This window comes from Homo sapiens, chromosome 6 (assembly GCF_000001405.40).
Source record: "Homo sapiens chromosome 6, GRCh38.p14 Primary Assembly".
Taxonomy (NCBI): domain Eukaryota; kingdom Metazoa; phylum Chordata; class Mammalia; order Primates; family Hominidae; genus Homo; species Homo sapiens.
Window position 1 is genome coordinate 35084596 of NC_000006.12, and position 24617 is coordinate 35109212.

General features: G+C 45.8%; 1 protein-coding gene across 12 annotated transcripts in view, besides 5 other annotated features; it reads left to right on the top strand.

Annotated features, from left to right (window-relative positions):
• The window catches only part of ANKS1A (ankyrin repeat and sterile alpha motif domain containing 1A), a 208736-nt gene extending 195341 nt beyond the window's left edge, over positions 1-13395 (top strand). For 6 of the 12 annotated variants that reach the window (XM_006715036.3, XM_005248964.4, XM_047418491.1 and 3 more), the window contains 3 exons: positions 1171-1341; positions 2357-2454; positions 4011-6811. In XM_006715036.3, coding sequence (XP_006715099.1) covers positions 1171-1341; positions 2357-2454; positions 4011-4014 — 273 coding nt within the window. In that variant the 3' untranslated portion in view covers positions 4015-6811. The other 6 variants (XM_011514433.2, XM_024446383.2, XM_011514431.4 and 3 more) reach the window with 5 other exon arrangements.
• Positions 1632-2132: an enhancer, noted in NCBI's record as "H3K4me1 hESC enhancer chr6:35054004-35054504 (GRCh37/hg19 assembly coordinates)". NCBI's record gives its function as "activates a minimal SCP1, AML or CMV promoter by ChIP-STARR-seq in naive H9 embryonic stem cells {active_cell/tissue: H9 hESC(naive)}" and the evidence as "EXISTENCE:reporter gene assay evidence [ECO:0000049][PMID:30033119]".
• Positions 2871-3698: an enhancer, noted in NCBI's record as "H3K4me1 hESC enhancer chr6:35055243-35056070 (GRCh37/hg19 assembly coordinates)". NCBI's record gives its function as "activates a minimal SCP1, AML or CMV promoter by ChIP-STARR-seq in primed H9 embryonic stem cells {active_cell/tissue: H9 hESC(primed)}" and the evidence as "EXISTENCE:reporter gene assay evidence [ECO:0000049][PMID:30033119]".
• Positions 3699-4524: an enhancer, noted in NCBI's record as "H3K4me1 hESC enhancer chr6:35056071-35056896 (GRCh37/hg19 assembly coordinates)". NCBI's record gives its function as "activates a minimal SCP1, AML or CMV promoter by ChIP-STARR-seq in primed H9 embryonic stem cells {active_cell/tissue: H9 hESC(primed)}" and the evidence as "EXISTENCE:reporter gene assay evidence [ECO:0000049][PMID:30033119]".
• Positions 11903-12103: a silencer, noted in NCBI's record as "peak5763 fragment used in MPRA reporter construct". NCBI's record gives its function as "represses an SCP1 promoter by STARR-seq MPRAs in K562 erythroleukemia cells {active_cell/tissue: K562}" and the evidence as "EXISTENCE:reporter gene assay evidence [ECO:0000049][PMID:32103011]".
• Positions 22636-22805: an enhancer, noted in NCBI's record as "active region_24395". NCBI's record gives its function as "activates an Ori minimal core promoter by ATAC-STARR-seq in GM12878 lymphoblastoid cells {active_cell/tissue: GM12878}" and the evidence as "EXISTENCE:reporter gene assay evidence [ECO:0000049][PMID:35858748]".

The window sequence follows — 24617 nt, forward strand, 5'->3', positions numbered from 1 at the left end:
GGATAATAGGCGTGAGCCACCGCCCCTGACTTTCCAGCTTTTTGGCGAGTGTTTTCTTAGGTCAGGCAAGGCCTTTGTTTCCCCCGGCTCCCTGCCCTAGGTCTCCAACCTCTGGCTGGGCCGCCTCCCAGAAATGCCCTCTACTTCCCTCTTAGGGGCAGTGGTGCCCTCTTTGGCAGATTTTCTTCCCTCAAATTCCTGCTGAGGCTCGGCTCTGGATGCCACTGGGCCGAGGAGAGTTCATTCTCACACAGCTGCCCACAGGGAGCAGACCAGAACTGACAGCCCACAGGCGGGGGTTCCCTCTAACCTGCAACAAAGCATGAGAGTGGCCCCAGGCTGCTTCCTCACCCCGGGAGGAAGTCAGAGGGGTCCAGGTCTCTGCCGCCCTCAGGGATAGCAGCTGCTTCCAGAATCTCTGTGGCTCCTGGAATACAGGCAGCTCTGGGCATCCCCACACTCCTGGGACCTCATCCACCCCAGTCCTCTGTTTGCTCTGGGCCAGTGAAGGTTAGGAGGAACCAGGCTTTGCTGCTTGCTGGCTGTGTGAGCTTGGAAACATCGCATCTGCCTGCTTCCTCATCTGTCTGGAGGGGATATAATGTGGCCCACCTCAGGGGCCACTGTGAGATGGATGAGGTGGTCCACACAGCACAGTCAGTGGCATTTACCTGTTGCTGACTTTTCCCACATACACTCAGTTCTGCTGTAACGCCACACATACGCTCCTAACAATCACTGTGCTGTGTAAAATCACACAAGGAAAACCACAGGGTTTATGGGGAAATGGAGTTAGGGGCACAGCACTCACAGACTTTGTCGGTGACACATTAAAAATAAAAGCACTAGCACCACTTACATTAAATGGTAAGAAATACCCAAGTACTGCTGCAGGCACGGCACCCTGCCTTGGAAAAGACCTGCCGTAGGCTTACAGCAGTGTGCACCTGCCCTCCCCGCAGCCCAGCTCCCGGCCACATCCTGTGTAGAGCGGGAAGAACAACAGAGACCTAGGAAGAGTAAAGGAGGGAAAGGAGGGAAGAGTGGAAGGAGGTAGGAGCGCTCCCGGGTAGACTTAGAGGGGGACACATGGTCCCTGCGAGGAAGGGCATATCCAGTGTGAAGCGGCTCCTGAACCAGGTGCTTAAGTGGTGATCTGCTTCCTCCCAGAACCTGACCTACGAGATCATCCTGACGCTGGGGCAGGCCTTCGAAGTGGCCTATCAGTTGGCCCTGCAGGCCCAGAAGTCCAGGGCGACGGGCGCCTCTGCAGCTGAGATGATTGAAACAAAATCTTCCAAACCGGTGCCTAAGCCTCGGGTCGGCGTGAGGAAATCCGCAGTACGTGGGCCCCACTGGCCAAGATCCCCCTCTCCCTGGCCCCAGGGATTCAAGGGCTCAGGGTGGTCAGCGTGAGGAGGGTCTTCTGGCACTTCCAGAAAGCTGGCCCTCCAGGGAAATGACCCTCTTAATTGTCCCCCAACCCTGCCAGGTCTCGCCCCTGGAAAGGCAGCAGCTCCTCTGGCCTGGGCGGGCCTCTCATGCTCCTGTTTCCCTCCCTCGCTGGGCTCCCCCAAGGGCAAGGCCGTCAAGGGGCTGCAGAGAGCGGCCTGCAGGCAGCCCCCAGTAACTGCGCCATCCCTGTGTCTGTGTCTGCTTTGCTCTGCACCCCAGGTGCCGCTGCCCCCCGATAGTCGCTGTTGTTACTGTCACACCTGCACCACCCACCGTCCTTCCTACCTACCGCTGCCATCTGTTAGTCCTGGAGTCAAGGTCTTTACGCCTCCTGCTGTCTTGTGTGTCAGTCTCCCCGAAGTGACCGTGAGCGCTCTTAGCCTCTGGCGGCCTCTCCCTCTGCCTGTGTGACATTCTTTCCCCTCTTCCTGAGATGCCCTCTGCCTGTTCTGTGTGTGCTTCAGCCCTCTCTGTTTTTCTGTTGTGTGTCCTCTCTCCAGAGGTCTGGGGTGACTGCTGTGGTCTTGCCTTGGGGTGAGCTCTCTGGGCCTACCAGAGAGACCCGAGGCTGGACATTTGCAAGCCCCATATCCCCTTCCTGCCCAGTGTGAGTGGGTCTGGGGCTTAGAGCAGGAGGCCCGCCTAGGACAGGGGTCCTTTAACTGAGCAATCCCAAGAAATCCCGGAGAGAAGCTGTGCCTGGAGGTGGCCCTCCCCAAGATGCTCCAGGAGGGTGTCCCTCCTCCGCCTGCCCCCAGGGGCCTGCTCTTTGGCCGAGGAGAATAAGGGCTGCCCCTCCCAGCACAGGGGCCACAGCCTGGCCTGGGGGTGGGAGGGGCCTGCTGCCTCCAGCCCTGGCACAGAGCTCCCTCTGACTCTTGACTGCTTCCTTGTTTGGCAGCTGGAACCACCTGATATGGACCAAGATGCCCAATCCCATGCCAGTGTCTCCTGGGTTGTGGACCCCAAACCAGACTCTAAGCGGAGCCTCAGCACCAAGTATGAGACCACTATCTTCTAAAACAACCCACTCCCTGTCTCCACTAGTCTCACTGTGCCTTTGCCATCCGATCTTTCTGCTGTCCTCAACTCTCTCCTTCCAGCTGCTGATGCCAAGGCCCCACCTGCACTGGGACCTGCTCCTCTTGGGCGGGCGGCAGCGTAGACGCTGTACACTTGCAGCTCTCGCACCTACCACCACCGAACACTGTGAATTCTCCCCCTTGGGCTGAGGACAGCTTGAGGGGGTGAGTTGCCTTTGAGGTGGGCATCAAGAGGGCTCAGGGGTTCTGTTGCACCCTGGAAGCCTCCACGGGCAGGCACTGTGAACCCCGACGGGCAGGGCAGTCTCCAGCAGGATCCCAACGGCACTGATAGCTCCCCAGGGTTGGGCTGGGCTCTGTGTGGCTCCCTCCTCCTGTCTGCTGTACTGAGCCACAGCTGGGCACCGTTGCCAAGAGCTAGCTGACTGTTCTCACCTCTCCTGAACCAACCAACCACTGTGACCACCCAGTGCCAGAGTCCCCAGCACTCTGCTCACAGCCGGCCTGCAGCCCCACCCCACTGTCCTCCGCTACTCCGAGGTGCTGGCCTCACTCTCATGGCTAGGCCCTTGTGAGACCTTGAGCTCAGTGATGTGGCTGGACCAGGGACAGACTGCTTTCTGTGAGGGCCCAAGATATGCGCCAGGCCCTTGGGTCCGTGCTGACTGCCCCACTTGGGGCTCTGGGTATCTGAACACTCACAGGCTGGCTCACACAGCAGGTGTCTCAGTCCTGATGGGCCTTCCCCTCCAAGGAGGTGGGTGGCATGTGTGTGGACAGCCCCTCTATCTTCGCCATGGAGTCTCAAGGCCTGGCAGCCTTGGGCCTGGCTCTGGAGTCTAGCTCACTGAGGAGGAAGGCCTTCCGTAGAACCAACGAGGAGGCGGCCTGTGCCCTGCACACACGGCGCACCTTCTTCCCTCACAGAACAGAGCTGCTGGAGGACAGGGACCTGGACCAAGTGGCCTCCATTGTCCTCTGGGAGCTTTCTGACACTCTCCACGGTGGGGGATCACAGATAGACAGCGCCGTCCAGCATGCCCCTGACCACCTCCCTCAGCCTCCTGACTCCTCCGAAAGGAGAGGCCGTCCCATCGCAGCAGCTCAGAAGCTGGGATGGTGGAGCTGAGTCTTTGAAGAGGCACCCCATTCTCCAGTGTGGGCAAATCAGTTTGGATGGCAGGAGACAGGAAGGAAGCGGCGCCCATAGGCAGCCGTGCACACATAGCAGAGTCCACTAGGAAAGCCAGTCGGCCAGGGCAGTCAAAACCCAAGTCGATAAACTGGGTGGGTCCTGCGTACCCACCCATCCTTGTGCCTTCCTGAGCAGAGTCACTGAGCCAGAGGCAGTGGGGGCTGCAGGCTGTGGGTGCTCAAAGCAGGCATGGAGGGTGCCCCGGGGAGGCTGTGAGGGATCGTCTGTCCTGCTCTGTGTTTCCTTTCCATTTCCTCCACCGTCCGCAGGCCCCATTGGTTAACCCTTTCCTCCCCCCATTGTTTGCTTCTGCCAAGCTGAGCCACTGAGGAACCACACTGTGCTGCGGAAACATAGACGTGGGGGCATAGGCTCCCACTGCCACCACCGCCATCGCCTCACCTGCAGCTCTGAAGACCCAGGCCTCACCTCCGCCTGCAGGACCTCCTCTTGGCCACTTGGCCTGGGCCTGCCACCACCACGTCCTGCAGAACGAGCCCTGCCTTGGCTGTGGAGAAGCACTCCAGGCCGCTAGCAGATGGGACTGGCATTCCAGAGGGTCAAGAAGTGACTTGTTCAGAACACATTGTTTTTAACAGAAAAAAAATCTTTTTATAAAATGAACTTTTAACACTTGGCTCAAACCTCTAGGTCATACTGCCAATCTTTAGACAAATGGCCATGGGGCAGAGGACAGGGGAGCTGAGGTTGGTTCAGAGGCCAGCCTGCATAGCCTCTGTCCTCAGGACGGAACTTGGGTGCAGCTCAGTGGGTCGGAAGAGAAGGCGGTGGCCTGTGGGTGAGGGGAACGGAGCAGGCTCAGGCAGAATTGAGTACGGTGCGTCTGCTTTTCAAACCCAACCATATCAGCTGCTGCTCTTTATGAACTGCCCAACTTCCTGTCCCTTTCAGGGGCTAGACACAGGCTTCTCGTAAGAACACAGCCTTAGAGGCACCTGAGCAACTCAAAGGTTTCCGGTCCATTTCTGGGGTTCCCGATGGGAAGGTTCAGTGGCCAAATGAAGATAAGTGTGCAGTTTCTAGTGCTGGGAAGTCTTAGCCAGCACCAGAGCGCCAGGCCTCTCCCTGGCCTCTTACCTGTCAGTGATCGGAGCACTGCCCTGGGCTGGCCGGCGCCGTACTGCCTGCGTTGTGTCAGAGAATAGGAAAAGCAGCTTTGTTTGGGGCATTAATGCTTGGAGTGGGGTCAGCTAAGGTTGCTACTTGCCAATTTGTGATTTGTCTAATCAGCCTGTGTGATTGGGGCTCATTTTGATTCTCTGAATTATCGGTTTGACGGTTACACTTGGCTGCTGGGCCCATCCCTGGCCCCCGGTGTGGAAAAGGCTAAATAAGGTGACAGTGCATCGATGCTCCCCCGCGTGGCCTTTGGGGCAGGCTGGCATCCCGGTGCGCCTCTGCTTCTTAAGCTTTCCTGCTGCTCGCTTTGTTTTTAAAAGTAACTTGGGTTGCATTCTTCCCTCTGGACTAGAGTAGAAATGCAGGGGAAACTGCTGTGGATTTGAGAGGCAAAGTTGGCTCAGCTGTGTGCCCAGTTCCTCCTGTGGGCACTTTAGCAGGCTCCGAGCTTTCCTGGCATAGGTCAATCAGGTCCCAGGATGAATAATCCAGGCTTCAGCAACACTCCTCTTTCCCAGCCAGCAAAGGCTGTGAATTTGAATTCTTTGTTGGTATGTATGTGCAGGGAGTACTGTTAGGCACATTCTTAACCCATGTGGTTGGCCAGAAATCAGAAGTGGGGCTGTGTCTCTGACTGGCTAGAGGCCAGGCCTTGTGGGTTTCTATCTGCTAAGCACCCAGCAGGTTGGGGCCTGGGACTCAGCTCTCTCTGCGGTAGAGGCAGGCCCTCCTCCACTTCTTGGTACTAAACGAAGATCTCGACACCTTGCAGTTTTACTTCATTTCCTGCCCCTTTCAGGGCCTGTGAGGATGCCCATGAGCTACCGCTGTACAGTTCTCGGCCCCGGCTTTCTTCCAAGAGTTGACCAGGAACCCTAAAGCATCCAGAGTAGACTGCGCTGCCACTGCGCACATGCTGGTGCCCGTCTTCCTCCTAAGGGGCCAGGCCACATCCAAGTGGGCCTCTGTCGGGGGCGGGGCGGTAGGTCCGAAAGAAACCGCAGACACTACGATGCACTCCTCAAGCTGTCTTTTGTGCTTAGATCATCCATAGGTGTTTCTTCTGCTTGAAGCTGCTATATCATCTTTATTTATTCAGGGTATTTTCATATTGGAAGCCTTGGCTAGTCTGCTCTAGCTCTGGGTTCTGTTTAGAGATTGGTTTATTTCTGAATATTCAAGAAAGGAAAATGACTGGGCCTTTCTTTCTTTTCTTCTCCTCTGGGATGGGTAGTCTCCCTTTCCTAGAAAGGTTATTATAACTTTAAGGACAGGCTTCAAGTGGGAAGGCCCCTACTTTTGCACTTCTCCAAGTGCAGGTCACACCAGGGGCAGACCCTGTCGCTGCGTTTCTGAACTGTGAAGGAGCCCATTCGGGTGGGAGACTTCAGATGGGCTCAGTACCTGTCCCAGCCACAGGCTTCTTGTCCACCTCTTCTCCCCTGCCCACCAGCTGCTCAGCGCATAAGACCTTCCCGACAGGCTCTGCGTGTGCAGCTCTCTGCGTCCCTCCTGGGCCCTCCAGCGTCAGACACTAATGGGAGTTCCCGAGATGCTCGGGTTTGAGCAGGGAGCAGGCAGAGCTGCAGTCAGAGACATTAGAAAACCAGTCTGAATTGGGTCTGTCTTTGAGATGCCCAGGCCAGCAGAAAGCAGCTCAGAAGTATTGTTGCTCATGGTGTGGCAATGGACTGAACTGTAATGAAAATGTTATTTAATCTTTGTCTCTGTATTTTGATACTTGAATGACTTTCCCTTTTGTTTTACTGTATATAAAATTGTTAATCTGTCTGATTTTGTCTGAATTATAAACACTTTGAGGTACCAAACATAACCAATCTGTGCAACAACATAGACTGACCTCAGTACCCAAGAGAGTGTAAATATTTCTGGGCTTCCAGCTTTGGTTTTGTTATTTTCATAACTGTACACAACTTAGAACAGACTGAATTAATAAATGAGAAGCGACATGAACGCAGCCTTAATTCTTCTGAGTCTTTGAATTGGAAAGCGTCTTGATGGTTTTCTGGCAGAGGCGTGGGCACAGGCGAGACGCAGGCTCAGGATCAGTGATTCGCATCCTACACCGTTTGGCTGAGATGACGACAGCTTGGCTGTTTGGCTTTCTGTCTCGCACTCTCTAACAAACAGTTAGTTACAGCTGTGCTGTGAGGCGCAAGGGCCCCAGGATTCACCTTCCCCTCCTTAGGAACATCGTTCTGTGAACACCAAGCCAGGGCCACATTCTAGTTACTGCTGCAGTGGCATCTCTTCTGCCTCTTGGTCTGGGCTTGTCCACCCATAGACATGAACCGAACATCTGCCTCCCAGGCAGCCTGGGGGATCTAGAGCTGTGAAAGAAAGTGCTCTCCTTTCAGGAACTTGCTTGGATTGCAGAGGTTAAGTTTTAGACATAAACAACTAGCTACCAGCCCGAAGCCGTGCTATGGTAGGGATGCAGAGGGCAAAGTGTTCCCAGAGGGCTGGTGGCAGGGAGAGGAAGGGGCAGGGTGCTGAGCTGTATTTAAAGGGGAGAATTTGGGAAAGCACAAGCAAGCGGTCATAGCGGCCCCTTCACTGATTGACGGAGCACCTTGGCCCCTTCACTGATGGAGCACCTGTGTTCCAGCTCTGCTAGCTTTCCAGGCAACCATCTCATTAGCCCCACTCCTTTCCGGACAGGTGTTGTCACCTCTATTCATAAAGCAGGGCCCAGGGCCTCTATTCATAAAGCGGGAGGGACCTTGAGCCCCATCTGGTCCAGTGGCTCCAGCTGCCAGAGCCCCTGTTCCTAGGCCTGTTTCAACCCCAGCTGCCTAGCACTGAACGCTTTTATTCCTGAGTTTCTGTGGACGCTTCCGTTTCTTAAAAGGGCCTTAAAAAAGAAAATTCACTTATCTAGTTCAGTACCCATATTGAACATAAACAATAGTTGTTTATGTCTAAAACTTAACCTCTTTTATTGGTAGAGAAAACAAGGTCCAGACTTGGAAAATGATTCTCTCCTAGCCAGCCTGCCAGCGAATGGCAGAGAGCCAAATCCCAGGTTGTAACTCCCAACTAGGGCTTTGTAGGCCACACTGCGTTGAGTTGGGAAAGTCCACTGAGGCCCAGTGGGGGAGGCCTCACATTCCAGAGGGGTTCTTCATCCCCACATCCCTTGGCTCCCTGGCTATGGCGCTCTTTCCTAAGCAGAAGAAACCTGACAGCCAGAAGAGAAAGGTCAGGTCATAACTAGTGTCATCAGGGCACCAGGACACATAGCTGCTATCATCATCCCTTCTGGGACCACCTTACACATTCTGCCTCTGTGTGAGGCACAATCCCTGGCCTCTTCCACTCATTCCTTTCTCCCCCTTCAGGGGCTCATTTCTGTCATACTCCTCCACATCCTCATGAGCCTCCCCTTCACAGATGCTCAGGCTCCTAGACAGCTGGGTTGTTACTACTGAAAATTGGGATAGATCAATCCTCAGCAATGACCAGGCCACGGAGGAGGAACTTTCAAGCTGGAGCACTTTCCAAGGCAGCTCAAAACACCCTCTAGTCAGCCATGGCCACCCCTGACTTCCTGAACCCAGAGGGTATCCAAGTCCCATAAATAGGGACAGGCCGACTATCTAGTGTGTCATGCAGTTCAGCCTGGGGCTCACACTGCACCCACTGTCATCAACTAACAACAAGGAAAGCTAAAGTCTGAACCATCCCTTCCTCCGTGCAGCCTCTACGACTTTGAGACCGCTTTTTTCAGGATTCGGCTGTTAGGAACACTATTATAAACAACTATTTACCAAATAGAATTTTCCTAACACCATAAAATATTTATTACTCAGTAAATGGAGCTGGGACAATTGGGCAGCCAAGGAGGAGGGAGTGCAGGGAGATTCCTGTTCCAACTTATGCCAAAATAAATTCCAGATGGCTCACATATTTAAATGTAAAAACAAAAAAACAAACAAAACTCAAAGCTAGAAGAAAATGGGAGGCTTTTTTTTAATAAGCGTGGTTTGAGAAAGGCCTTTCCAAACGTTATAAAACCCTGAATCCATTTTTTAAAAAGGATTAATATATTTGAGTCTATAAAAACTAAACATTTCTGCATAGCAAAATGCACCTTTGAGAAAAAGAAACAATGGAAAACTAACATGTGCACCACATGTAACAAGGACACCTTGACAACAGCTATCAAAAGTAAACTAACGCCTATGTCTCGGAAGATCAGTAGATGCTCTTTTCCCTGCTCTTCCCACTAAGTACGATTAAAACCCCCAGTGGAAACACCAGTGGGCACAGACAAAAACCTGTTCTTCCCAGCCAGAGGACCAGGAAAGGGGCAGCTTAGCAAGACAGAAAATTTAGACAATAAATAACTGCTCTACTCCAGCCAAGCACCACAGGAAAAATGGGGCCCCACCCAGATCAGCAAAGGCCAAGACCTCTGCCCTCACAAAGCTATAATGAGGTGCCCAACAACCTCACGCATGTTGTCAGAGGGGGCCTGGTGAAGAGACAGAACGCTCACCAGCGCCCAGTGATTGTGATGCTGCTCCCGCCTTGGGAGTCAGTGGAAACTACAGGGGCAGCCGGGAGTGCCACGGCACCCCAGCAGTAACAAGCAGCCTCCCACCTCAGGTGTCAGTGGAGGCCAGGTGGGGAAGCTGGGCTTTGACCCCCAACCTGGCAGTAGTATGCTATTTCCTTTTCCCTTGCTAGAGTGGTGTCAAAGTCAGCTAAAAGAGAAGGTTTAAATAAGAATGAGAAACAGAAATGTCCAAGTTTCAATAGAAAATCACTTATCATACCAATATCCAGAAAACTCTCAATCTGAATTTAAAAGGCAGTAATCAATAGATATCAACACTTAGCCAGACATGGTGGCACAAACCTGTAGTCCCAGCTACTCGGAAGCCTGAGGCAGGAGAATGGCTTGAGCCTGGGGAGGCAGAGGTTGCAATGAGCCGAGATTGCGTCACTGCACTCTAGCCTGGGCAAAAGAGTGAGACTTCGTCTGGAAAAAAAAAAAAAAAAGATATCAGCACCAAGATGGACAGATATTAGAATTATCTGACAAATATTTTAAAGCAGCCATAAGAAAGTTTCAACAAATAATTATAAACACACTTGTAGCAAAAGAAAAAGTCAAATGTCTGAGCAAAGAAATAAAAGATATAAAGAACCTATTGGAAATTCTAGAACTAAAAAAATACAATAACCAAAATCAGTGGATGGGCTTAAGAGTGGAGTGGATGGGAAAGGAAAGAATGCACCATAAACTGGGAAACAAAACAACAGAAATTACCCAATCTGAACAACAGAGAGAAAACAGATTGAAAAAAATGAACAGCATCTCAGGGACCTGTGTGACCATAACAAAAGATCTAACATTGTGTCAACGAAGAAGAGGGAAAAAGAGGCTAAGAAAATACTCGAGGCCGGGTATTGTGGCTCATGTCTGTAATCCTAACTCTTTGGAAGGCGAAGTGGGAGAATTGCTTGAGTCCAGGAGCTCAAGACCAGCCTGGGCAACATAGTGGGACCCTGTCTCTACAGAAAAACTTTAAAATTAGCTGGGCGTGATGGTGTGTGCCTGTAGTCCCAACTACTCTGGAGGCTGAGGTGGCAGAATTGCTTGAGCCCAGGAGGTCGAGGCTGCAGTGACCTGTGATCACACCACTGCACTCCAGCCTGGGCAACAGAGTGAGACCCCCATCTCAAAAAAAAAAAAAAAAAAAGCACTGAAAAAAATAATGCCTGAGAACTTCCAAAATTTGGCAACAAACATAAGCCTTCAGATTCAAGAAGCCAAGCAAATCCCAAACCAGATAAACTCTGCGAAAGTGGTTAGAATTAAAAGTCATTTCTGGCCGGGCATGGTGACTCATGCCTATAATCCCAGCACTTTGGGAGGCTGAGACAGGTGGATCACGTGAGGCCAAGAGTTCGAGACCAGCCTGGCCAACATGATAAAAGCCCAAAAAATGAGCCAGACATGGCGGTGCATGCCTATAATCCCAGCTACTCAGGAGGCTGAGGCAGGATAATTGCTTGAACCCAGGAGGTGGAGGTTGCAGTGAGCCAAGATTGCGCCACTGCACTCCAGCCTGGGCAACAGAGGGAGACTGTGTCACAAAAAAAAAAAAAAAAAAAGGAAAGACGAAAGAAAGAGAGAAAGAAAGAGAGAAACAACAAAAAACAACAAAAAAAACAGTCACTTTTGTGTTAAAAAAAAAAAAAAAGCTGGAGAGACAGTTCTCATGCATAAATGCCTGGTAACAAAAACTATTATTACAAAAGACCACAACCTTTTGAAAACTAGAACCTAGCACAAAGACCATCACAACCTTATACCAAAAAAATACTTCTGCAAGGACATCTGCTCAGCAACTGACTGTCCAACCCCAAACTGGCCCCACCGTTGTTATTGATCCTTGTAGCCAAGGATAATTATCTCAAAACAATTATGTAATCCTCATTTTTCCTTTGAAAACCTCTGTCTTCCTTCAGGTCCCTGAATATGCACATGGTTTACTATCACACATGTATTCCCATTGCAATACCTTATTACCAAATAAATATCATTTTCTTTTATTAGAGGGCCTCACTCCATTTGTTATTGAGATTGACATAAATGTTGTCAGAAGTGGGATGAGGCAGGCTCACTTCAGAAGAATCAGAGGCCCCTGAAACTGAGTGTATTCTGACTGAGCCCTTTGTGCTCTCCATCTTCATGAGTTGCCTTTTCCAGCCAGGTGAATCTCCTGTAGGATTCTCAGACTCCCTCTCTTTGGTGAGTTGTTTTTCACTTTATAGAGGATTTGTTTCAGTTACAAGTCTGTCTTTAATAAAGGACACTACATCCCTCCCTCCTGGGATGATAAAAGACTTTTTGTCCTTTCTGGAAAGTCCTTTCTGGGATGAGGACAAGGGCCCTTCTGGTTTGAGTGCTCTGGTTTCTACAGAATTTATATCCTATCTGTGAGGCAAGTCTTTTCTGGAGAATTTACTTTTGGTTCTTCCTGCATGCCTAATTTAATAGTGTGTTTAATCTGCACACCTGGGTTAAAAGTATTGTGAACACTAATTTTGGTCTCATTTTGGTTTGGTTATGCGTGTCTGTAAATGATTTGGCCCTTTTCCTTTGCTGATTTCTGGAAATTCTCCAAGAGCAAAAATAAACATTCCAAATGGCAGACACTAGTGGATGACTAATTAAAAGCCATGAGGGCAGTTGCCATGATCTAAAATACCAGTCCAGACGCCTGACATTCTCTGGTGGATTTACAGGATTATCTTTGCTCTTGAGAGATTAATAAGAAATGGAATGGGATTCACAAACGCTAAGGCATGCCAGGTTTTCTGAGGCTCCAGCCAGCTATATAATATGGCCCATTCTTATGCATATTTTTTAACTGATGGGCAAATTACGTGAAGGAAAATTCAGAGCTCAATGGTCATTAGTCAAACCCTCTAAAAAAGAAAAAAAAAACACACACAAACCCTCCAACTACAATGTTAACATATGGATCCTTCTAAGATCTCTACTTTGAATCTGCTAACTTTTCTGCTGGTGTTGAGATAACACTCTCTTCTAATGGCATTCCAGCCAATTTTTTTTTTTTTATCTTAAAGGTCTTTCAAATTAATGGCTTTACAAATTACAACAGCTTCATGGCAGCCAACAACCTAGACACCTTTTGTAAATGTAAATTTAGGTTTGTCTAACAACCACTTAAGGTGATAGAACAGTTAATTGAAGGATTAATAGTCTACAAGAAAAAGAACTAGGTAAATGCTTATAAAAGTTAGGTTCTCAGGGCCAGGTTTAATCCCAGCACTTTGGGAGGCCGAGGCAGACAGCTCACTTGAGGTCTGGAGTTTGAGACCAACCTGGCCAACATGGTGAAACCCTATCTCTACTAAAAATACAGAAATTAACCGGGCATGGTGGCAGGTGCCTGTAATCCCAGCTACTTGGGAGGCTGAGGCGGGAGAATCGCTTGAACCCAGGAGGCAGAGATTACAGTGATCTGAGATCATGCCACTGCACTCCAGCCTGGGTGACACAGCCAGACTCCGTCTCAAAAAAAAAAAAATTGGGCTTCTAGACCAAACAGGTGACAATCATTAGCTCAGAGTAATAATATAAGGTTTCTCTGTCCAGCATAAAAACTGCTTAAGTCTGACACAAGGCACCAGAAAAAGCCAAAAGAAAAAAAAAAAAAAAAAAAAACACATACACACACACACACAGCCAAAATGCTTGCCCATCCACGTTGATTATTCAAGTAAACCAGACCAGCAAACAAAAGATAAATTTGCTGCTAATTCAAGGCCACTTGGAGACTGTTCTTCTTATACAGTTCAGTTGGTCTTAGTTAAAATGCAAACACTGAAGAGTTACCCCCAAACTCTTTGAAACAGAAAAAAGGAAAAGGATGAAGAGATTTTAAAAAGCTAAACTGTTTACGAAAATTTTGTTCCACAGCTTTCACTGGATTAGTTATTGGAGCAAAATTTAGCCATGTGAACAGGTCCCATTTTGTCAGAAGCGTAAGTTGGATGCAACCATCTTTTATAAACTGGTGAGTTTGTATTACTCTCTCATGACTAAAATTTTAAAATGAAAGCTATAAGATTTGTGTGCGTGTGTAAGCATCTGGTGTATTTATGCATATATACATGTATTATATATGTTGTGTCTACATGGTAAAATCTGACATAATCAGCCAGAAATCCCTGAGGGAATTCTATTCAGATTAGCTTAGATAAATGAGCACTCATAGAAAATATATAGTAATTAACCCAAATGCCTTTTAGAAGTAAATCTTTAATAAATAAGCTAGTTTTTAAATTATTGGTAACATAAAAATAGAAATGTCTTCAAAATAGTCGGTATGCATTTTTGGCTGCATGCTGGTCTCTTAGATATTAAACTGTAAATTCAGCTTAAAAACAGAATAATCTTTGTGTAACCCTTTGGTAAATAAGGCTAATTTAATATTGTTGGTTTCATAAAATCAGCTGTATCTCCTGTGTTATCAACAAAATACCCATATATTTAAATTTCTTAGGTGAACACTTGATATTCAGAGGCTATAAAAATGGTTAACAGAGAAATAACTTGAAATGATGACAAGCTTTGTCTAATACCTCAGTTTTCATAAGTAATCTAGGTAAACTGTTAAACATAAATACATCATGTAAATATAAAGAGGAAAAACATTTATACATGAACTTTTCATGTAATTTAAAATCTTTTAAAGTGTATTTATTTTTATTTTTTATTTAATGTGGCATCTTACTATGTAGCCAGGCTGTTCACAAACTCCTGGGCTCAAGCAATCCTCCTGCCTCAGCCTCCCAAATAGCTGGGATTACAGGTGTGTGCCACCACACCTGGCTAATTGGAAATCTAAAATTATGCTTAATTCAATTAAATGATAGATGTTCATTAAATGTCTGGGTCATTTCCAAATAAGATAAAAAACTGAAACAAATGACTGAACATAAATATTTTTGTTCCTGCTTCTTAAATTTTATAGAAAGATTAAATATATTTTGGCCCGTTAGTACACATTAAAAATTATGGGGAAACATGTTTCTAAAAATTATAAAATGGTTTTTTCTCTTTGAGAAAAAAAGAATAATTTTGTCTAATTTGGAGATTATTTAAAGGTAATTTCAAAAAGTAAATTTAGAAAGGAACTAGAAACAAGGTAGAAAGGAATCGGTAACTAGGGGAGAGAGATATGAAGAAAGTTATAGGTATGAAGAGTATTTTTCGTAAGTAAGTTAAAAAGAATAATTTTGTATGAGAAAGAATCTTGGGCCAGGTGCAGTGGCTCTCGTCTGTAATCCCAGCACTTTGGGAGGCCAAGGTGAGTGGATCGCTTCAGCTTGGAAGTTTGAAACCAGCCTGGGTGACATGGCGAAACCCCATCTGTATAAAAAAATTACAAAAATTACCTGGGCATGGTGGTGCACACCTGTAGTCCCAGCCACTCAGGGAACTAAGGTGGGAGGATCACTTGAGCCCAGGAGGCAGAGGTTGCAGTGAGCCAAAATTGTGCCATTGTACTCCAGCTTAGGTGACAGAGTGAGACCCTGTCTCAAAAAAAAAAATAAAAATAAATAAAATCTAAAGATTTTATGTTTTACCAAGATAAATTCCTATACTGTCTTTAATAGGTTTTTTTTATTACTTAAGAAAACTGAGCTTTGAAAGGATTGTTTTTACATCCATATAATTTTCTCTATTTCTTCTGAAGTCTTGATTACCACTGTGGTTAAACGCATGACTATTATTTCACTGTGCCATATGATCCTGTTTTGATCAAGTGCTTTATATCTTTTGGCATCTTTGATGGGCTTCCCCAATATCAAAATTCTAACTTAAGTCTTTTTAAGCTAGATTTAACTTTGGGATTTTCCAATTGGGCCCCAGAGAAGGTAAAAGAATGTTAGAGCTACTAAAATTAGGATTATTTAGAAAATGGTTTGGGAAACCTTGTCAAATAGTAAGTGAGGCAAGATCTTCTTTTAGTTACATGAATGGATAAGTTATTGATAAGAATCTTCCAAAATTGTATAAAACTCTTAGAAATCTAATTTATCAGTCATAAATCTGGTTATTATGTCATAAGCCAGAACATAGCCAAATTTCCTTGTCAATTGCTGATTATAACCAATTTCCATCCAATTTTTAATCATGATTATTCTAAGTCTCTGTCATCAACAGTTTTGATTTTTTCTAAAGATATCTGCAATCAGATTCACAGAAAAGACTGTAACAAAACTCTTCAGTCTAGGTTACTAATAACTATAAGATCAAGACTAAATAAAATTTTTTCAGAACTCTAATGAAGAGACTTGAATTCATGAAACTGCTAATCAAGATCAAGCAGAAAAAAATTAATTACATAAGATTAAGTAACACTGATGATGGTAATGTTTTGGTTACATTTTTTATTTTTTTTCCCCCAAGAGTCCCGCTCTGTCGATCAGGCTGGAGTGCAGTGGCGTGATCTGAGCTCACTGCAACCTCCACCTCCCAGGTCAAGTGATTCTCCTGCTCAGCCTCCCAAGTAGCTGGGATTACAGGCACGTGCCACCACGCCTGGCTAATTTTTGTATTTTTATTAGAGACGGGGTTTCACCATGTTGGTCAGGCTGGTCTCAAACTCCTGACCTTGGGTGATCCACCTGCCTCAACCTCCCAAAGTGCTGGGATTACAGGTATGAGCCACTGCACCTGGACTTTCTTGTTACTTTTATGTAAAATATTATTGGTTCTTTCCTTAAATGTTTCATTTTCAAGTTTAAGGAAATTTTTTCTCTTTAGAGTTTGGTAAAATATACTTTTGTGAAGAAACATGGAAGAATTTTCTTTTCTTCCCTACTTGATTCCTCCAAAATTTAGAAACTACTTGGGAGTATTCTTATTTTTTTATGGCAACATGGTTATGCACATAAGTTCAATAAAAATTTGCTCTTTTTTTTATAGAGTGCGATTGAAAATATTGGTTATATTACCAAGGCTCTGACTGGAACGTCGTATTTGAGAACATAGAATGCCCTTCAAGGGTTCCCAGCCTGATAGTTTCGTTTTGTTTTTGAGACGGAGTTTCACTCTTGTTGTCCAGGCTGGAGTGCAATGGTGCGGTGTCGGCTCACTACAACCTCCGTCTCCTGGGTTCAAGCGATTCTCCTGCCTCAGCCTCCTGAGTAGCTGGCATTACAGGCATGTGCCACCACGCCTGGCTAGTTTTTGTATTTTTAGTGGAGATGGGGTTTCACCATGTTGGTCAGGCTGGTCTCGAACTCCTGACCTCAGGTGATCCACCCACCTCGGCTCCCAAAGTGCTGGGATTACAGGCATGAGCCACTGTGCCCAGCCTCCAGCCTGATAGTTAATGAGTAAAAATTGTCACTTTCTAGCAGGCCCAAGAACTTTAAGGCTATAGGTAAAATGTAAAATCTTCCTTGATTTGGCTTAGCCTCAAAAGGTTTCTAAATCTGAAATTCCTATGTGATCAATGTAGAAAGAAAAAGTTACGTTTCTAAAGAAATGCTACAGCCAGGCACTGTGGCTCATGCTTGTAATTCAGCACTTTGGGAGGCTGAGGCAGATGGATTGCTTGAGCCCAGGAGTTCAAGACCAGTCTGGGCAACATGGCAAAACCTCATCTCTACAAAAATACAAAAAATTAGCTGGGTGTGGTGGTGCGTGCCTGTAGTCCCAGCTATTCAGGAGGCAGAGGTGGGAGGATCACTGAGCCCAGGTGGCTGAGGCTGCAGTGAGCTATGATCGCACCACTGCACTCCAGCCTGGGTGACGAAGTAAGATCCTGTCTCAAAAAAGAAAAGGCCACGGGTGGTGGCTCACGCCTGTAATCCCAGCACTTTGGGAGGCAAAGGCGGACAGATCACGAGGTCAGGAGATCTAGACCATCCTGGCTAACACGGTGAAACCCTGTCTCTACTAAAAAATACAAAAAATTGGCCAGGCGAGGTGGCTCACACCTTAATCCCAGCACTTTGGGAGGCCAAGGTGGGAGGATCACGAGGTCAGGAGTTCGAGACCAGCCTGGCCAACATGGTGAAACTTCATCTCTACTAAAAATACAAAAATTACCCTGGTGTGGTGGCTGGTGCCTGTAATCCCAGCTACTCGGGGTGCTGAGGCAGGAGAGTCACTTGAAACCAGAAGGCAGAGGTTGCAGTGAGCAGAGATCGCACCACTGCACTTCAGCCTGGGAAAAAGAGCAAAACTCCGTCTCAAAAAAAAAAAAAAAAATAGCTGGGCGTGGTGGCGATCACCTGTAGTCCCAGCTACTTGGGAGGCTGAGGCAGAAGAATTGCTTCTTCTGGAGGCGGAGGTTGCAGTGAGCCAAGATCACACCACTGCACTTCCGCCTGGGCAACAGAGCAAGACTCCATCTCAAGAGAAAAAAAAGAAAAAAAAATGCTGCAACATACCTGTTGTTAGATTCTAGCTCTATGCATTGTTTTCAAGTTCTTATTTTCTACCTATAATCTAGACTAGATCCTAAACCTAAATTCTTCCTGATTCTTCCAATCTAACTTTCTTCCATGGAATTAAAAAAAAATTAATTATTAAAAATTCTTCCAGCTACTCTACCATTCTATTCTTAAAGCCCTATGAGCTGAAACTAGATTAATTTTAAGAAACAAATGTCATGCCAGATTTATAGGCCACAAAAAAAGTTCAGCAAACCACCTGATGCCATAACCAAAGACATTCAAACTACAAGCTGAGATGAGAAGTTGACGTTCTCACACTATAGACAGCTTTTCCATAAGATTCAGTATCATGAGACGCTTACCCTCTTACTGCCTGCCATTTTCACTTGACAGGATAATGGTCATTTGATTTACACAACTGGTTGCCTTTTTAAGCCTGGTTTAATGGCTCAAAACCATTATGCAAACTGAGATTGTCATTACTATGAATTTTACTTTGTATTTTCCCTTTTTAAACTGTGTATCTGTTATGTTACTTGTCAAATTTTTGCAGAAGTACAACTCCTAACATAATATGCTTCTAACCAGAAATGCTGGTCCAGCACTTTGAGATGATAGCAAGACTACAGGAACAGACAAATTGAACTTAATAATGGACTCCAGGTAGACTTAATCTGACAACCACTCCCTCAAACCTCCCTTGTTGCTCAAATGTGGCTAAAAAGGTTTTGACACTTACTCCTACTTGCCAAAACTCCTTCTAATGCAGAACCAAACCAGTAACCTGGGACAGGTTCATCCTGGCACTGAGGGACATCAAAATCTAACTACAGAATGATTGATCACTGATGCTTTTAGAGAAAGAATTTGATCAAAAGGGAGAAATGTGAAAGTTATCAGAATTAAAATGGAGTTACTTATGTTTAAAAAAAAAAAAAAACTCTGAAAAATAGAGCCAAGGTAGGCCATGAAGAGAAGGGTCATACATAAATACCTGATAACAAAAACTATTACAAAAGACTGCAAAAACCACGTTACACAAAAGCCATCACAACCACACAAAAAATACTTCTGTGAGGACATCTGCTCAACAACTGACTGTCCAACCTTGAACTGGCACACCCTTGTTATTGACCCTTGTAGCCAAGGATAATTTTTTTTTTATTTTTTATTTCTTTTCCTTTTGAGACAGGGTCTCTCCCTGTCTCCAGTCTGGAGTGCAATGCTGTGATCATATCTCACTGCAACCTCAAACTCCTGGGCTCAAGCAATCCTCCCACCTTAGCCTCCCAAGTAGCTAGGAGTACAGGTACATGCCACCATGCCCCACTAATTTATTTTTATTTTTGTAGAGATGGGTTCTCACCACATTGTCCAGGGTGGTCTAGAACTCCTGGGCTCAAGTGATCCTTTTGCCTCAGCCTCCCAAAGTGCAGGGATTACAAGCATGAGCCACCACACTTGGCTAGGATAATTATCTTAAAAGGATTTTATAATCCTCATTTTTTTCTTTAGAAACCTTTTTCTTCCTTTAATATGCACATAGTTTACTATCGCATGCATATTCTCATTGTAATGCCCTATTCCTGAATGAATATCATTTCCTTTTAGAGCACCTCTATTATTTAGGTTGACAACCCAAAGAAATTCACACCAAGATACCTCAAAATTAAATTTCTGAAAATGAAAGACAAAAAAAAAAAAAATTCATGGAAGCAGCTAGAGAAAAATGACACCTTACCTATATGGGAAAAGCAATTTGAATGACCGGATTTCTCCTCAGAAACCGTGGAGGCCAGAAGAAATTAGCACAATATTTTTCAGGTGCTGAAAGAAAAAGCCTATAGCCTGCAAAAATATTCTTTAGGAAGGAAGGGGAATCAAGACATTCGCAGATGAAGGAAAACTAAGGAACTTCGTCAGGAGCAGATCTACCCTAAAACATTGGTGAAAAAAATTTTGGGTTTTTTTTTTTTTTTTTTTTTGAGAGAGAGAGAGACAGTTTCACTCTGTTGCCCAGGCTGGAATGAAGTGGCATGATCTTCGGTCACTGCAACCTGTACCTCCTGGGTTCAAGTGATTCTTGTGCCTTAGCCTCCTGAGTAGCTGGAACTACTGGCACGCACCACCACGCCCAGCTAATTTTTGTATTATTAGTAGAGACAGGGTTTCACCATGTTGGCCAGGCTGGTCTCGAGCTCCTGACCTCAAGTGATCCACCCACCTCAGCCTCCCAAAGTGCTGGGATTACAGGCGTGAGCCACCATGCCCAGTGGTGAAAAAGAAGGAATGGAAATGATAAAAGAAGGAAACTTGGAACATCAGGAAGGATGAATGAACATTTAAGCAAAAATATGGGTAAATACACTAGACTCTCCTTCTCTAGAGTTTTCTAAATGATGCTTGATGGTTGAAGCAAAAATCATAACACTGTCTAATGTGGTTCTAAATGTATGTAAAGGAAATATTTAAGACAATTTTACTTTAAGCGGAGAGGGTAACGTGATATAAAGGGACATACAGGGAGGTACGGCTTCTATGCTTTCCTCAATTGGTAAATGGTGACACCAATAGACTTTGACAAGTTTTATGTGTGTATATAAATATCCAAGACAGCCACTAAAAAGTTATGCAAAGAGATATACTCAAACACTGTCTAGGTAAATCAAAATTGGTTTTTAAAAATTGGTCAGGTAACTCACAAAGAAGCAGGCAAAAGAATAAAAAACAGGATAACTAGAAAATAATATAAAATGGCACACTTAAGCCCCAATATATCATAATTATATTAAATGTAAATGGTATAAAACACCAATTAAAAGAGATTGAGGCCGGGTGCAGAGGCTCATGCCTGTAATGTTAGCACTTTGGGAGGCTGAGGTGGGCAGATCGCTTGAGGTCAGGAGTTCAAGGCCAGCCTGGCCAACATGTTGAAACCCTATCTCTACTAAGTATACAAAAGTTAGCTGGGTGTGGTGGTGCGTGCCTGTAATCCCAACTACTGAGGAGGCTGAGGCATGAGAATTGCTTGAACCTGGGAGGTGGAGGTTCCAGTGAGCTGAGGTTGCACCACTGCACTCCAGCCCAGGCAACAGAGTGAGACCGTGTCTCAAAAATAAATAAAGAGATTGACAGAGTAGATTAAAAAGCATGAACCAACTATATGATGTCTATAAGAAACTCACCTCAAATAACAATATAGGCAAGTTGAAAGTAAAAAGATAGATATATTATGCAAACATTAATCAAAGGAAAGCAAGAGGAACTTTATTATTTTTGGGGAGACAAGGTCTCATTCTGTCACCCAGGCTAGAGTGCAGTGGCACAATCACAGCTCACTGCAGCGGCACAATCACAGCTCACTGCAGCCTCAAATTCCTGGGCTCAAGCAATCCTCCAGCCTTGGCCTCCCCAAATGTTGGGATTACAGGTGTGAGACACCATGCCCAGCCAGGAGTGACTATATTAACAGCTCATAAAGTACACTTCACAGCAGAGAAAACTACAAGAGACAACGAGCATTATATAATGATAAAAGGGTCAATGAATCAAGAAGACATAGCAATCCTAAATGTGTATGCACTAAACAAAAGAGCTGCAAAACATGTGAAGGAAAAACTGACTGAACTGAGAAATGTAAACAAGTCTACAAATGTCATGGACTGAACTGTATCCCTCCCAAATTCATATGTTGAAGCCCTAACCTCCAATATGACTATACTTGGAGATGAGGTTTTTAGGAAGTAATTAAGTGTGGGGGGATCGGTCAGAGTGGTGGGAAAAACTATAGGGAAAGGACGCAAACCTTCTGAAAGGTCAGAAGGTTTTGCAGAGCCCCAGGGGAGACTAGCTGAAGACAGCTGTTCTATATGAGCATTTTCATAAGCCAATTGCAACAATATCAGTGGCCTGGGCATGACTAATTTGTCTCTTAATTGCCTGGGTTAACCGACTGATAAATTCAACAAATGGCTCCTGAGGCCCTTGTCGAACATTTACAAAAGATCCCTGTTGAACTCTGCCTTCGGGAATTCGGTCCCAAGCCCTGCAGGTGCATAAGGACACTTGTACATATGCTTGGGGGACAATGTAATTGTTATTGTACATTGACATAGGGACCCCTCCCCTGGAGCATAGCAGCCTCGTTATGTTTTGCCCAGCCAATTGATTCTGGTTGGCTTGTTCTTCACACAACTCATCATATTCTGCCCTCCAGTGGAGGTATTGACTGGCCTCTAAAGTTGTTTTAGCTAGCACTGATAAGTCCCATGGGGTCATATGGAAGTTACCTGCTATGGCCTCAATTAATCCTTTCATACGTGGGCTAGCACTCCGTTTTCTCTAATGCTTTTTCTTGTTTCCTTGTAAGTGTTGAAAGTAATGGGTTCATGTACCTGATTGCCTTGTTGATCTTGCATCACCAGGCAGGCCAAGAGCTCCCCTTCTAATGCCACTTGCCTAAGACAGGGTGCCATAACTGTAGTGTATCTCTTGTCTTTTTTCCAATTTATTGGGGGAGGGGGCTCAGGGAAAATCTCTGTGGCACCTTTACCCGGTAATGGCGGGGCTGAGGGACGAGGAGGAGGTGGTAAGGTAGATGATGGTTCTTCCTCCCTTTCCTTTTTAGGTTCTTCTGTGTAGAGCGGAGCCAAAGCAGCCCTAAGGCCCATAACGTTAAAGATGTTACTGGTACCCATTGCCCTTGCACATGATGTCGTTTAAGATTTCTTCCCACTTGTTCCCAGAGCTCTAGGTCTAGTGTGCCTTCTTCTGGGAAAACAAGTTTGTATTAGGTCCCTTAACTGGGCCTCCGAGACCAAGGCTCTACTTTAAGCAGCTGTTTCAATACTTTTATATACTGTTGCTGTTGAGCTTATAACTGTTGTCCCATGATGAAACCCTAGCTTGAAAATCCCCTCAAACTTGGAAATCCCCAGCAGGCACCAATTACTTACTGCGCAGTCACTTCACTTTTGTTTTCAAGGGTTCTGTCGCGATCCATTGCAGCGTTCCTCACGTGGGGCACCACCTGCCAGGTCTGTCCCGCAGACCCTGGCCGATGGATGAAATGAGTCCTCAGACACAGGTATGCAGTGTAAAAGCAGCTAGGTGACTGCTTGGCTCTAGTGGCTACAGAGCAGCCCCAAGAAGCTGGAGCTGCTCTTTTTTTTGTTTGTTTGTTTTTTGAGACAGAGTCTCGCACTGTCTCCTGAGCTGGAATGCAATGACATGATCTCGGCTCACTGCAACCTCCGCCTCCCGGGTTCAAGTGACTCTTCCACCTCAGCCTCCCGAGTAGCTGGGATTACAGGCATGTGCCATCACACCCAGCCAATTTTTTTGTATTTTTGGTAGAGACGGGGTTTCACCGTGTTAGCCAGGATGACCTCAATCTCCTGACCTCATGATCTGCCTGCCTTGGCCTCCCAAAGTGCTGGGACTACAGGCGTGAGCCACCACACCCAGCCCTGGAGCTGTTTGCTTTTATTCAGTGCAGGCACAATGCCAAAAACCTGGAGCCAACACAACCTGCAGATAATTAACATTTATTGTTCCCCTTTCAGGGAACACTCACAGATGATAAAAGGTCAGTTCCTGGTCAACAAGCCTATTTAAGATAAACTCCCCCCACTCCCTTGTACCTACTCCTTGCCCTCTGCCTCAGGGTTATCTATAACAGCTGCCTTCAGCTATTCTCCCCCAGGGCTCTGCAGAACCTTCCGACCTTTCAGAAGGTCTGCGTCCTTTCCCTATAGTTTTTGCCACCACTCTGACAGATCCCCTATACTTAAGGTTAAATGAAGTCATAAGGATAGGGTCCTTACCCGATAGGATTGGTGGCCTTATAGAAGAGAAAGAGTTTTCTCTCTCTTTCCCCTCACACACGTGCATATGCATTACAGAAAGGCCATGTGTTGACATAGAAGAAAGCAACCATCTGCAAGCCATGAAGAGGACCCTCACCAGCAACTGACCCTGCCAAACCTTCATCAGGGAGTTAGTTAGCAGCCTCCAGAATTGTGAGAAATACATTTCTGTTGTCAAAACCACCCAGTTCATGGTATTTTGTTACAGCAGCCTGAGCAGACTAATACAACAAACATAGTTGAAGATGTCAACACACCTCTCTCAGCAATCAATAGAACAACTAGACAGAAAATAAGTAAGGAGATAGAAAAATTCAACACCACCACCAACCAACAGGATCTCATTGACATTTATAGAACAATCTAGCCAACAACAGCAGAACACATGGTCATTTTAAGTGCCCATGGAACATACACTAAGGTCATTTCCTGGGCCATAAAACTAACCTCGACAAATTTAGAAGAATTAAAATCATACACTAGCCAGGTGTGGTGGCTCACACCTGTAATCCCAGAACTTTGGGAGGCCAAGATGGGTGGATCATTTGAGGTCAGGAGTTCGAGAGCAGCTTGGCCAACATGGTGAAACCCTATTTCTACTAAAAATACAAAAAAAAAAAAAAAATAGTTGGGTGTGCCCAGCTACTCAGGAGGCTGAGGCAGGAGAATCGCTTGAACCTGGGAGGCAGAGTTGCAGTGAGCCGAGATTGTGCCACTGTACTCCAGCCTGGGCAACAGAGCAAGACTCCATCTCAAAAAAAAAAAAAAAAGAATTAAAATAATATACAGTGTGTTCTTCGACCACAGTAGGGTCAAAGTAGAAATCAATAGCAATTAAGATAGGAAATTCTCTAAACACTTGGAAATAACACACTTCTAAATAATCCGTGGGTCAAAGAGCCAATCTCACGGGAAATAAAAATATACATTAAA